This window comes from Homo sapiens, chromosome 3 (genome assembly GCF_000001405.40).
Source record: "Homo sapiens chromosome 3, GRCh38.p14 Primary Assembly".
Taxonomy (NCBI): Eukaryota; Metazoa; Chordata; class Mammalia; order Primates; family Hominidae; genus Homo; species Homo sapiens.
This window is the reverse complement of record NC_000003.12, coordinates 99,489,656-99,504,114: the sequence shown is the minus strand read 5'-3', so window position 1 is coordinate 99,504,114 and position 14,459 is coordinate 99,489,656. Positions and strand designations below refer to the sequence as shown.

At 36.8% G+C, this 14,459-nt stretch overlaps 2 long non-coding RNA genes across 3 annotated transcripts in view; both read left to right on the top strand.

Moving 5' to 3' along the window:
- LOC105374005 (uncharacterized) overlaps nucleotides 1-2,380 on the top strand; it is a 46,233-nt gene extending 43,853 nt beyond the window's left edge. For both annotated transcript variants that reach the window (XR_007095985.1, XR_001740466.3), the window contains one exon: nucleotides 747-2,380. This is a non-coding gene — a long non-coding RNA (uncharacterized LOC105374005). The remainder of the gene's footprint in view (nucleotides 1-746) is intronic.
- LOC105374007 (uncharacterized) overlaps nucleotides 1-14,459 on the top strand; it is a 175,630-nt gene that overhangs the window by 94,389 nt on the left and 66,782 nt on the right. The gene's annotated exons all lie outside the window — the stretch shown is intronic.

Below are 14,459 nucleotides of genomic sequence, written 5' to 3'. Positions count from 1 at the left end.
GCTTGGGACTCAGTAATGTGAAAAGATTTGTCTTACGTCTTTTGTGGCTAGTCAGTAACAGTCAGAATTAATTTAGTGTTGGCCTTAATTGAGCCATGTGATTTGCTCAATAGAATTTTATATTTTAAGCCACCTTTGAACAACCATATAGTAAGGGTCCATTTGATCTTTCTCCTTCAACTACTTTTCACACTTACACCATGACATTCTTTTTGCAAACATTTCAGTAGTTTTGGTATTGGGCTTTGAATTGGTAGCCTTAATATTCTGTTTTTCAAAGTCTGTTTTCTGTAAAGCTAAACCCACAGTGGACTGTGCTATTACTCTGCCCAGATTCCCTCAAATCCCTTTTACTGTTTATGTCTGTGAGCTTCCCCTCTTTTGTTTGTTTGATTTTCTCCTAACAGTCCTCACTTGCAACTCTTCTGGAGCTGTGCAGACAGCCAGAAGTGTCCGGGATTTTGTGTTCCCCGATCACTCCACTCCATTCCCCTAAGCCCTTAGCCCATGAGTGTATCTTCAGGAATATGAAGGCCCAGCCCCTGTGCTACTGGTCAGGACAAACTCTAAAGTGTGGCTTATATTCCAGATTCCCTTTGGGGATCAGGCTGAAGCTAGGACTTTGCCTGAAATCCCGCCTTTGCTTGGCTGCTTTTCCTTCCCTGTCCCAATTTCCTGGTTAGGAGTGAATCACTCCCACATTTGTTCACATTTTATCTCTTTATTATTTTTTTTTGTTCCATCAGAGTCTGCTTCTGGAACCCAAACCTAAGGGACTCAGCTATGTTTGTGTTGACCTACTATCAATAAAGAAGATCCTTATTTAAGAACAGGCCACCTTCTGTTTTACACATATACTTTCTGACCCTAGAAATTGTTCAGAAGGTGGAATGTTTTGCTGTTTCAATGAGATCACATGTGTAAAGGCTCTTTGTACACTGCAGGAGCTATAGAAATGTGAGTTATGATTGCTCAAATTTCATTCCCTTTGCTCTAATTTTGAGTTAGGGGAGAGAAAGCCGGCCTGTAAAGTACATATCACAGTTTCTCTTTCTCAGCTTTCAACTGCATGGGAGTTTGTATTTCTGTTTCTACTACTCCATTTCCTCTGCTGATACCCTGCCAGGGAGGTGAATGTATCAAGTCAGGAAGTAGACTTCTCAGAATAAAGAATGCAGAATTAGAATGTTTAGTGCACCCAAGGTTAGGTGTAGAGTGTGTCATATGAAAGTAATAGGTATACTTTTTTCATAGCATTTAATATGCCTTTATCCTTAAATTTTTAATAGGTTTTGATATATCAAAGTATATAAAAGTATACACTTTATTATAATTGTCAACTGTATTTTTGTAGTTTTCTTCTCTCACTTTTCAGAGAGGGGAGAATTTAGCCCTTACTGTGAAAACAAATACACAAGGAAGAAACAAGCTTATTACAAACAAGAATGTTCCTCTATTACATGTACTGATCTAAAAACCTTAGTCTAGTTACTCCTCCTGAAGCTCATGTTTAATATTTGGAATAGAAAATACTTTTCTATTAAAAAATCCAGAAGAAATTAAGATATTGATTTTTCCCCATAAGATCTCTGTTGTGGTGACTGCAGTGACTGTAATATCTTCTGTCGTTGCATTTGTAATGGCTTCATCAAGAATGAGATTGCCTCCCAAAGGGTGGGTTAGAAGTTTCCCATCTGCAGGCATTGCTTGGCCAGCATCTATCCTCTATTTCCACAACCCACCATGTTTTTTGGAATAATATGGGTGCTCTTAGTAACTCATGCAAGGGTGGTCATTTTGCTTCTGTATGATATTGATTCTATAACTTGCAACCAGTGGCAGAGCTCAGTGGAGGACTTTCCACCTTCCACCCACCCTGCTCTTTTCTGGCCACAGCCAAGAGCTCCAGATTACAGAGATTCTGACTGGTGAATTTGGAAGTAATCACTTCATTTCCCAGGAGGTCCAATTCAGGATATACCTCTAGTTTAGAGTTGGTTGCGAGAGTTATGCAAACCAACAATAAAACTGGGAGACTCCAGACGCCATTGCCCTCAAGGCCTTGGGCACAGCCCAGGGAGTGCCTGGCTGTGTGGACTTGGAGCCAAGGGCCCTGGGACTGCATGCGACACCACTACTCAACACACAAGAGATTCCCAGCTTAGCACAAAATAGGTTTTTGTTTGATTCCTTCCCAGTGTTTACCTAATTTAAACTCTGTACTCTAATTTGAACAATTGTTATGTTTGCTCTCAATAAATCAAAATGAGATGTTCTGAATAATCCATTTGGTACCAATGGAAAAAAAAACCCACTGTTGAAATGTATGATTGTTATTTTGGTGAAAACATGAAGAATAAAATTATTCTATTTATGACAACCCTGACTGTGGTTCTCTTTTCTCTCATTTCGAACTTATAATTTTGGCTTTAAAATTCCAGATGAGTTTCCTGCCAAAATGTACAGTCTCTGTTTGTGCCTGAATATCTCAAAATATTTTTTTCGTATAAAGGAGAATTCCCTTATTCCATCCAAAGGATTATAAGACCTCAGTGTGTATGTTGCTGCTGAGCTCAAGATCCTTAAAAGCCAGTTTTGGTTTGCTGCGACTTATCGGAGGTTTTTCACTACGTCCAACTCCACCCTTATTTTGTACATATTCTTAGAAGTGAATGTTTTAGAAGAGTGCAAACGCCATGAACACTCCTTGGATGGGGTTGTCTCTCAGCCCCTGGGCATCTTGAAATACTCAAGACTGCTTTTGCTTGCATGAGCAGGTTTTATTGGATTAGGTTCTGATTTCTTGATGAAGGACCTCATCTGCATTGTATTTGCCATAAGCAATGCAATTGATACCAACTGGGCACATCCACAGACTGTAGGCCATGTGATATTGGCCTTTAGGTAAGTCAGAATTGAAATATTACATTTTTCCACTGAGGCATACCTGACTGAGCTCTTGGCACAGAGCTCAACTTATCAATTAGAGAGAAAGATGGTGACCAGGGAACTCCAATCATTTGTGGACCATTGTGGGCAACATGAAGCCAGGAATCAAAATGCAGCCGTTTCATCTTTGTTCACATTTTATCACACACGTTTACAGGAAATTTGTAAGATGCTTCATCTAATGCTCCAAAACCACATACACTTGCCTCTTCTGCTGGATGGGATGGGATTCAGAGAAGGGAGGGGCTTGTACACTTCTGGCTCCATCTTCTTCTCCATAGTTTTATCATAGATCTGGATAAGAAAGCCAGCTGTCAGTAAGCCTTTCCTCATACTTAGCAACACTGTTGTAGCTAACAGCACAGCACAGCTAACACAGCACAGCACAGCTAACAATACCATTGTAGCTTCAACAGCACAGTACACTCTTTCTCTGCTTAGTGAGGTGTTGAGGGCGGCAGAGAATAAAGATAGAAACATGTCCTTGGAGACAGGAAACTTATTATCTAGTTGGAGCGAGTCCTCATATGACCTCTCGGCACTACAGTTTCCCTTGAGTAAAATGAAAGTACTGGACACCCTCACGCAGGAGGCAGGATGGAGAGTGGAGAAAGATAGACTCACCTGGATTCACATTCTGGTTCTACTGTTTGTTTCCAGCTCTTAGACCTCGGGCCACTTTCCCAGTTTCTCTAAAATGAGGCAAATAATATGTAACTTATAAAGATAGTAGGATCAGAGGTAGTATTTACAGAACATCTAATTTTTCCTAGGAACTTAAAAAGCAGTAGCTATTATTATCATTACCTATTTCAGTGTGTGTGTTAGAAACTTTGTGCATCCAAAGAGCATCATCTACTCATTTTCTGAGTGCCTATCTTTTGATTACCTTATGTTTCTTTTCCAGCAATATCTCCTGTTATCTTTAGGGAGATGTGTAGGCACAAATGAACCTAAATGCAATTCTTTTGCCTCACTATTATTTGGAGTTTAGTTCTGCCAATATTTTTTGAACTTAAGTTATGTTTATTAAGTCTATTTTGTGCCAGGCAGTGTGTGCCATGTGCTGGGAATACAAGAATGACTGGGTGTCTCTGTCTGCCAAGTGCTATTAATTCTGGCGAAAGAGAAGAGAGAGAAAGAAACAGAATATTTCAATGCAATTTGATCAGTGCTATGCACAGGGTGTGGCAGACACTGTTGGTTTCCTCCCCAGTAATAGTTCCGTCTTCTTTGTAGTTGATAGAACTCTGATTTTTTTCTGACTGACAGGGTGTCCAGTTAGGTTCTCACATCCTTAGGCTCCCTTTATGCTAGGTGTGGCTGTGTGATGGAGATCTGACCAGTAGGGCACATGCAGAGGTCTGATGGAGATTCTGATACAATTGCAGTCCTGATAATTTGGGATTAACACAGGGGACTCTGCCCTTCTACTTTTTTCCTATCTTCAACATGAGCATAGTGCCCACTGATGCAGCAGCCATCTTGTGATTATGAGAGAGACAAGCCTGAGGGAAAGTGAGAGAATTCCAGAGATACTAGCCCTGATGCCACTGAGCTACTGAACCAATGCCAGCTGCTATCTAGATCCAAAATCTTGTTATGTGAGAAAAATACACTTGTATTTGTTTGAGCGACTGTGAAGCAAGATTTCTGCTACTTGCAACCAAAGACATCCCTAAATGTCTACAGGCATAAGGAAGAAAAAGTCATATTTCTTGTAAAATACAAAGTAGCTTGGAGGAAGCAGCCACTTTAGCCAGAACATCTGCCCTCTGGTGGATGAAGAGTGCTGGGCAAATGGCCTCTCCTTTGGCAATGAGGAATTTCTTATCCATCGTGTACTGTTTAAAACACTTCTCAGGCTGTAATTGATAGAGTCAAAAAAAAAAAAAAAAAAAAAACCTTGTAGGAACCTGCCTCCTGAGAGACTTCTGTCTAATTGGAGACATGTTCCTGTACAATCTTTAATGCAATTAGTCACAATATCACCTGAGTGACCCCTTGTGCTGAGGGACCTCACGGTTCCCTCTGACTTAGATCACGCCAGAGCCATCTACGGTCCACGTTTCAGGTTAAACCCTTTCTGCATTTTCCAGAAGTAGGGCCTTGGAAACCCTGACCATGGCCGGATTCACAGACATGCAGCTGCCAAGACTAACAGACTGGTAGACAGTCTTTTCGCTGCCCTCACAAACTCCCAAAGAGATACCTATTTTTTCCAGTAATTCACTTTTCTCTCTCTCTCTCTCTCTCTCTCTGTCTCGCCCTTTTATTTTTCAGGCACAAGTTGAGAGTCTCACAGATGGCTTTGGGGAAAATAACTGCTTGTTCTCAAACATGCTGTTGGGAGACACATTCCTCTCCCTCCCTCCCTCCCTCCTGCACAGTTCCTGGCCTGCCTCAGTCCTGTCTCCAGGAGATCATGATGCTGCAGCCTCATTCTGCAAGTCCCCATACCTTCCAGCAGTCTTGCTGGCGGTCTGGGCTGCTGGCATTTATATTTTTCTTCTAAGTAGCTTGGCACATAGGAGGCTTTGCCTCTCTGTTTTGAGCCTGGCTTTTAATTGTTGGGCTGAAGGGAACATTTAGCTTTGTGCCCACAAACACTCAGACTTCAGGGAGCCCTTCCATCTCTTCCTCCCATGCCTACCTGTAATTGCTGAGGTGTGGCTCAGGGTGCAAAACAAACAACCACAGAGTGAGCTGGTTTGAATTAGAGCCTCATTTGTGAGGAGGTGAGACAGGATCAGCTGGGCATCCATAGGTTGTGAGTTGGCATTGAGGGCTGGAAAAGAAGCCTTAGGGGCCCGTGAGAATGCTGTAGCTATGATCCAAAGTAAGGACAAGCACAGTGTGAGTTCCCAGGTTTAGTTTTGGTGAATTCCAGGCAGGTGAGGAGACCAGGAACTGTAAGCAAACACTTAGAGAAAGTGAATTCAGACGTCACCAGTGACAATAACCATTGGCATAAAAGGCAAGTGGCAGCTGACATTTAGAAGAGACAAGGTATGTGTTAAAGTATGGTCTTGTCTGAGTTTTCAAAGGCCCTGAAATAAGTAAAACTGCCCCTAACTAACACTCATTCCTGCCTCTGCCTTAAACTTTCTTTATGTAAACTTCTGAGTCTTGGTTTCTTCACCTGTAACTTAGGTGAAGTATGTAAGTTCTTCTCACAGGATTGTTTTGAAACTTACATAAATTGACATTTTCAAAAGAACTTTATAATCTGTATTATTCCTCACAAGTTAATTTTTTAATTTCTTTTATAATTTTTAATGATTTTTATTAAGGTATAGTTGACATAAAATGTGTATATATTTACACTATACAACATGATGTTTTGATGTGTGTATACATTGTGAAATGATTAGCTTAGTAACACATCTGTAACCTCACATGCTTATCATTTTTGTTGTGAGAACATTTATCTACTCTCTTGGCAATATTCAAGTCTACAATGCATTATTATCAACTACAGTCATCATGCCCTATAATACATCTCTAGAAATTATTTATCCTGCTTAACTGAAGTTTTGTATTCTTTGACCAACATCTCTCCATCCCTCTACCTTCTTCCCCCTGAAAAATCACCACTCTACTCTCTGCATTAATAAGTTCACAACTTTTTTAGATTCCATGTGTAAGTGAGCTCATGCAGTATTTGTTTTTCTGTTCCTGGCTTATTCTACTTAGCATAATGCCTTTTAGGTTTATCTGTGTATTTCCCGCTTTTTAAAGACTCAATGGTATTCCATTGTGTGTGTGTGTGTGTATGTGTGTGTGTGTATCACATTTTCTTTATCCATTCATCTGTAGATTAACACACATGGTTCGATTCCATGTCTTGGCCATTGCGTGTGTGTGTGTGTGTGTGTGTGTGTATCACTTTTTTTTATTCATTCATCTGTAGATTAACACACATAGGTTGATTCCATGTCTTGGTTATGGGGAATATATATACACATACCCAAAAGTGGGGTTGCTGAATCACATGGTAGTTCAGTTTTTATTTTTTTGAGGAATGTTAATATTGTTTTCCCTAATGACTTAATTTACATTCCCACCAACAAGTGTGCAAGGGTTCCTCTATCTTTGCATCCTTGTTAATGCTTATATTTTGTCTTTTTTGGTAGCAGCCATTCTAAGAGGCGTGAGGTGATATCTCACTGTACTTTTGATGAGTGATGTTGAGGATTTTAAAAATATAACTGTTGGCCATTTCTACGTCTTCTTTTGAGAAATGTTTATTCAAGTCCTTTGCCTATTTTTTAACCTTATCATTTTCTTGCTATTGAATTGTTTGAGTTCCTTATAAATTTTGGAAATTAATCCCTGATCAGAAGAATGCTGTGCAAATATTTTCTTCCATTTCATGGGCTGCCTTTTCACTCTGTAGATTGTCTCCTTTGCTGTAAAGAAGCTTTTTAGTTGAATAAAATCCCTTTTGTCTATTTTTGCTTTTGCTGCCTGAGCTTTTGAAGTCATACCCAAAAATATCATTGCCCAGACCAATGTCACGGTGATTTCCCCCTATGTTGTCTTCTAATAGTTTTACAGTTTCAGGTCTTATGTTTAAGTCTTTAATCCATTTTGAGTTGATTTTTGTACATGGCATGAGATGAGGGTCCAATTTCAATTTTTTTTTGCTTGTGGATATTTAGTGTTCCCAACACCATTTATTGAAGAGATTGTTCTTTCTTCATTGCATGTTCCTGGCACCTTGTCAAAGATCAGTTAACTGTAATTGTGTAGATTTATTTCTGGCTTTGCCATTCAATTAAATTGTTTCATGTACCTCTTTTTATTCCAGTACCATGCTGCTTTGATTATTATAGCTTTGAAGTATTTTTTAAAACCAGGTAGTGTGATGTTTCCAGATTTGCTCTTTTTGCTCCAGACTGCCTTGGTTATGCAGAGTCTCTTGTGATTCCATATAAAGGATTGTTTTCTGTTTCTGTGAAAAATGTTATTGGAATTTTGATTGCATTGAATCTGGATCACTTTGGGTAGTATGAACATTTTAACAATATGAATTCCTCCAATTCATGAATTTGGGATACCTTTCCATTTTTTTTGTCTTCAATTTTATCAATGTTTTATGGTCTTCAGTGTACAGGTATTTTACCTCTATTTCTACATATTTTACACATATTTTAAAGCTATTGTAAATGGAATTGTTTTCTTAAATTATTTTGCAAATGGTTTGTTGTTAATGTATACAAATCTACTGACTTTTGTATGTTGATTTAGTATCCTTCGCCTTTACTGAATTTATCAGTTCTGAAAGTTTTTGGATGGAGTCTTTGGAATTTTCCATATATAAGATTACATCATCTGCAAACAGAGACAATTTTACTTTTTTCTTGTCCAATTTGGATGGCTTGTGTTTATTTTTTTAAATATAATTGTGGTAACTAGCACTACCATACTATATTGAATAGAAGTGATGAGAGTGGGCATCCATCTTGTTCCTGATTTTAGAATAAAAGCTTTCTGCTTTTCACCATTTAGTATAATGTTAAATGTGGGCTTGTTATAAATGGCTCTTATTATGTGGAGGTATATTCCTTCTATACCTAATTCGTTGAAGAGTTTTTATAGTGAAAAGATGTTGAATTTTATCAAATGCTTTCTCTACATCTCTTGGGATGAGCATATGATTTTTATCATTCGTTTTATCAATGTAGTGTGTTACATTTATTGAGTTGCATATGTTGAGCTATCTTTGCATCCCCCCCAAACAAAATATACATTTCATTTAATCATGATATGTAATCCTTTTTATGGGCTATTAAATTCAGTTTGCCAGTGTTTTTTAAGGATTTTTGCATATATCTTTATCTGAAACATTGACCTGTAATTTTCTTTTCTTATAATGTCTTTGTCTGGCTTTGATATCAGAGTAATGCTAGACTTGTAAGATGAGTTTGGAAGTGTTCTCACCACTTCAATATTTTAGAAGAGTTTGAGAAGGATTGGCATGAATTCTTTTTTAAATGTTTGGTAGAAATTACCAGGGAAGCCATCAATCACTGAACTTTTCGTTGGGAGGTTTTTGATTACTGATTTAGTCTCTTTACTTGTTATTGGTCTGTTCAGATTTTCTATTTCTTTATGACTCAGCCTTAGTGGGTTGTATGTTTCTAGGAATTTATCCATTTTTCTGGGTTATCCAATTTGTTGATGTATAATTGTTCAGAGTAGTCTTATAATTTTTTTTTGTAGCATCAGTTGTAATGTATCCTAATTTATATGTAATTTTAATTATATGTGTCTTCTCTCTTTTTTCCTTAGGTTTGTCAGTTTTGTTTATTTTGCCAAAATATTAACTCTTCAGTCTCCTTGATATTTTTTATTGTTTTCCTAGTCTCTGTTTTGCTAATAATAATTTTTATTATTTCCATCTTTCTGATGACTTTGGGCTTAGATTGTTTTTCTTTTTCTAGTTCCTTGAGGTATAAAGTTAGGTTGCTTATTTGAGATCTTTATTCTTTTTTTTTTTTGACAGAGTCTCGCTCTGTCGCCCAGGCTGAGTGCAACGGCGCGATCTCGGCTCACACCAAGCTCCGCCTCCCGGGTTCATGCCATTCTCCTGCCTCAGCCTCCCGAGTAGCTGGAACTACAGGCGCCTTCCACCACGCCTGGCTAATTTTTTGTATTTTTAGTAGAGACAGGGTTTCACTGTGTTAGCCAGGATGGTCTGGATCTTCTGACCTCGTGATCCGCCCACCTCGGCCTCCCAAAGTGTTGGGATTACAGGCGTGAGCCACTGCGCCCGGCCTATTCTTTCTTAATGTAGGAACTTATGGCTATAAATTTCCGTCTTAAAAGTGATTTTTGTTGTGTCTCATAAGTCTTGGTATATTGTGTTTCCATTTTTCTTTGTCTCAACATATCTTTTGATTTCCGTTTTGATTTCTTCTTTAACCCATTGGCTCTTCCAAAGTGTGTTGTTTAATTTCCACATATTTGTGTATTTCTAATTTTTCTTTCTGTTACTTATTTCTAGTTTAACAGCATTGTGGTCAGAAGAGATACTTGCTATGATTCGAATCTTCTTGAATTTGTTAAGACTTCTTCTGTGGCCTAAAATAATCTATGCTAGAGAATGTTCTGAGTGCAATTGAAAAGAACGTATATTGTACTGCTTTTAAAAGGAATGTTCTGTATATGTCTTTTAAATTTTTAAAATTTTTGTGGGTACATAGTAGTATGTATATTTACAGGGTACATGAGATGTTTTGATACAGGCAAGCAATATGAAATAAGCACATCATGAAGAATGCATATCCATTCCCTCAAGCATTTATCCACTGAGTTGCAAACAATCCAATTACTGACTTTAAGTTATTTTAAAATACACAGTTATTATGGACTATAGTCACCCTGTTGTGCTATCAAATTCATTCATTCTTATTCAGTCTCATTCATTCTTTCTATTTTTTTGTACCTATTAACCATCCCTACCTACTCTCCAGCCCCCCAAACCTTTCATAGCCTTTAGTAACCATCCTTCTACTCTATGTGTTCATGAGTTCATTTTTTTTTTATTTTTAGATCTCACAAATAAGTGAGAACACGCAATGTTTGTCTTTCTGTGCTTGGTTTATTTCTCTAAACATAATGAGCTCCAGTTTCATCTGTGTTGCAAATGACTGCATCTCATTCTTTCTTATGTCTGAATAGTACTTCATTGTATATATGTACCACATTTTCTTTATCTACTTGTTAACGGACACTTAGCTTGCTTCCAAATCTTAGCTATTTGTAATAGCTTCCAAATCTTAGCTTTACTGCACTCCTAAACAAACATAGGAGTGCAGACATCTCTTTGATATACTGATTTCCTATATTTTGGGTATACAACCAGCAGCGTGATTGCTGAATCACATGGTAGCTCAATTTTTAGTGTTTTAAGAAGCCTCCAAACTCTTCTCCACAATTGTTGTACTAATTTACATCCCCACCAACAGTGTACAAGGTTTCCCTCTTCTCCACATCCTCCCCAGCATTTGTTATTGCCTATGTTTTGAATATAAGCTCTTTTAACTGGGTGAGATGATATCCCATCGTAGCTTTGATTTTCATTTCTCTGATGGTCAGTGATGTTGAGCACCTTTTCATAAGTGTGATTTCCATTTGTTTGTTTTCTTTTGAAAAAATGTCTACTTAATTTTTTTTCCCATTTTTTGATCGAATTATTAGATATTTTCCTGCAGAGATGTTTGATCTCCTTATATATTCTGGTTATTAATCCCTTATCAGATGAGTAGTTTCCAAATATTTTCTCCAATTCTTGGATTGCCTCTTCACTTTGTTGATTGTATCCTTTGCTATGCAGCAGCTTTTTGATGTGATCCCATTTGTCCGTGTTTGCTTTGGTTGCCTGTGCTTGTGGGGTATTGCTCAAGAAATTTTCACCCACACCAATGTCCTGGAGATTTTTCTCCATCATTTTCTTGTAGGAATTTCATGGTTTGATGCCTTAGACTTAAATCTTTAATCCATTTTGATTTGATTTTTGTATATGGCAAGAGACAGGGCTCTGGTTTCATTCTTCTGCATATGGATATTCAGTTTTCCCAGTATCATTTATTGAAGACATTTTCTTTTCCCCAGTGTATGTTCTTGATACCTTTGTCAAAAATGAGTTCACTGTAGGTGTATGGATTTGATTCTGGTTTCTCTATTCTGTTCCCATTGGTCTATGTGTCTGTTTTGTGCTAGTACCATGTTGTTGGGTTACTATAGCTCTGTAGTATAAATTGAAGTTAGTTATATAGTTTGCCTTTGTCCCCACCCAAATCTCATGTTAAATTGTAGTTCCCATAATCCCCATGTGTCATGGGATGGACGTGGTGGAGGTAATTGAATCATGAGGGCACTTACCCTCATGCTGTCCTTGTGATACTGAGTGAGTTCTCATGAGATCTGATGGTTTTATAAGGGGCTTTTTCCCCCTTGGCTTATACTTCTCCTTGCTGCTGCCATGTGAAGAAGGCCATGTTTGCTTCCCCTTTTGCAATGATTGTAAGTTTTCTGAGGCCTCCCCAGCCATGGTGAACTGTGAGTCAATTAAACTTCTTTCCTTTATAAATTACCCAGTCTTGAATATATCTTTATTCGCAGTGTGGGCATGGATTGATAAAGTCAGGTAATGTGTTTCCTCCAGTTTTGTTCTTTTTGCTTAGGATAGCCTTGGCTATTCTGGGTCTTTTGTGGTTCCATATAAATTTTAGTTTTTTTTTAATTTCTATGAAGAATGTCATTGGTATTTTGATAGAGATTCCATAGGATAGTATGGGCATTATAACAATACTGATTCTTCCAATCCATGAATATGGAATACTCTCCCATTTTTTGGGTCCTCTTCAATTTCTTTTAACAGTGTTTTATAGTTTTCATTATAGACATCTTTTATTTCTTTGGTTAAGTTAATTTCTAGGTATTTAATTTTATTTGTGGCCATTGTAAATGGAATTAGGTTTTTATGTCTTTTTCACATTGTTGACTGTTGGTATATAGAAATGCTACTGATTTTTATGTTGATTTGTATCCTACAACTTTACTGAATTTAGTTATCTGTTCAAATGGTTTTCTTGTGGAGTCTTTAGGTTTTTCCAAATATAAGATTATATCATTGGCAAACAAGGATAATATGAATTATTCCTTTCCAATTTGGATGTCTTTATATTTTTCTCTACTCTGATTACTCTAACTAGGGCTTCCAGTACTATGCTAAATAACAGTGGTGACAGTGGGCATCTTTGTCATGTTCCTGATGTTAGAGAAAAAGCTTTCAGTTTTTCTCCATTCAGTATGATACTAGCTGTGGGTCTGTCATATATGGCCTTTATTATGTTGATGTATGTTATTCAATTCCAAGTTTTTTTTAGGGTTTTTAAAATAAAGGGATGTTAAATCTTATCAAATGCTTTTTAGCATCAACTGAAATGATCATATGGTTTTTAATCCTTCTTTCTGTGAATATGAGGCATCACATTGATTGATTTGCTTATGTTGAATCATCCTTACATCCCAGGGATATATCTCACGTGGTTGTGATGAATACTCTTTCTAAAGTATTGTTCAATTCAGGTTTGCTAGTATTTTGTTGAGGATTTTTTTGCATCAATATTAATCAGAAATATCGACCCATAGTTGTCCTTTTTGATGTGTCTTTGTCTCGTTTTGGTATCAGGGTAAAACTGCCATCATAGAATGAGTTCAGAAGTATCCCTCCTCTCTGTTTTTCACAATAGTTTGAGTATAATTGGTATGAGTTCTTCTTTAAATGTTTAGTAGAATTCATCAGTGAAGCCATCAGGTCCCAGGCTTTTCTTTACTAGAAGACTTTTTATTACAGCTTCAATCTCATTACTTGTCATTGGTTTGTTCAGGTTTTGGATTTTTTTCCTGGTTCAAGCTTGTTATATTGCATATATCTAGGAATTCATACTTTTTTTTCTAGATTTCCTAATTTATTGGCATATAGTTGCTCATAACAGTCACTAATGATCATTTGAATTTCTGTAGTATCTGTTGTAATGTTTCCTTTCTCATCTGTGATTTTATTTATTTGGATCTTCTCCCTTTTCTCTTAGTCTGGCTAAAAGTTTGTCAATTATGTTTACCTTTTCAAAAATTCAACTTTTTGTTTTATTGATCTTTGGTATTTTTAATTTCAGTTTCATTTGTTTCTGCTTTATTATTATTATTTTTCTTCTACTAATTTTAGGTGTGGTTTGCTCTTTCTTTTCTAGTTTTATATGATATGTTGTTAGATTGTTTATTTGGAGTGTTTCTTCTTTTTCTATGTAGACATTTATAGCTATAATATTTCCTCTTAGTATTGTTTTTGCTCTATCCCATAGGTTTTGGTGTGTTGTGCTTCCATTATCATTTGTTTAAAAATATTTTTCAATTTCCTTCTTAATTTCTTTATTGACCCACTGGTCATTCAGAAGCATATTGTTTAATTTCCGTGTATTTGTATAGCTTCCAAAATTACTCTTGTTATTAATTGTTAGTTTTATTTCATTTTGGTCAGATAAGATGCTTGATATTATGTCAATTTTTTAAATGTTTTCAAACTTGTTTTATGACCTAATGTGTGATCTATCCTTGAGAATGATACATATGCTAGGGAAAATAATGTATTCTGCAGGTCTTGGATGAAATATTCTGTAAATATCTATTAGATCCATTTGGTCTATGGTGCAGATTAAGCCTGATGTTTCTTTGTTGATTTTCTATCTAGAAGATCTGTTCAATGCTGAAAGTGAGGTATTGAAGTCTCCAGTTATTATAGAGTTGAGGTCTATCTCTCTCTTTAGCTCTAATATTTCCTTTATATATCTGGGTACTCCAGTGTTGGGTGCATGTATATTTAACATTGTTATATCTCCTTGCTGAATTGACCCCTTTATTATTGTATAGCAAGACTTTTTGTCTCTTCCTATAGTTTTTGTCCTGAAATCTATTTTCTCTGGTATAAGTATAGCTGA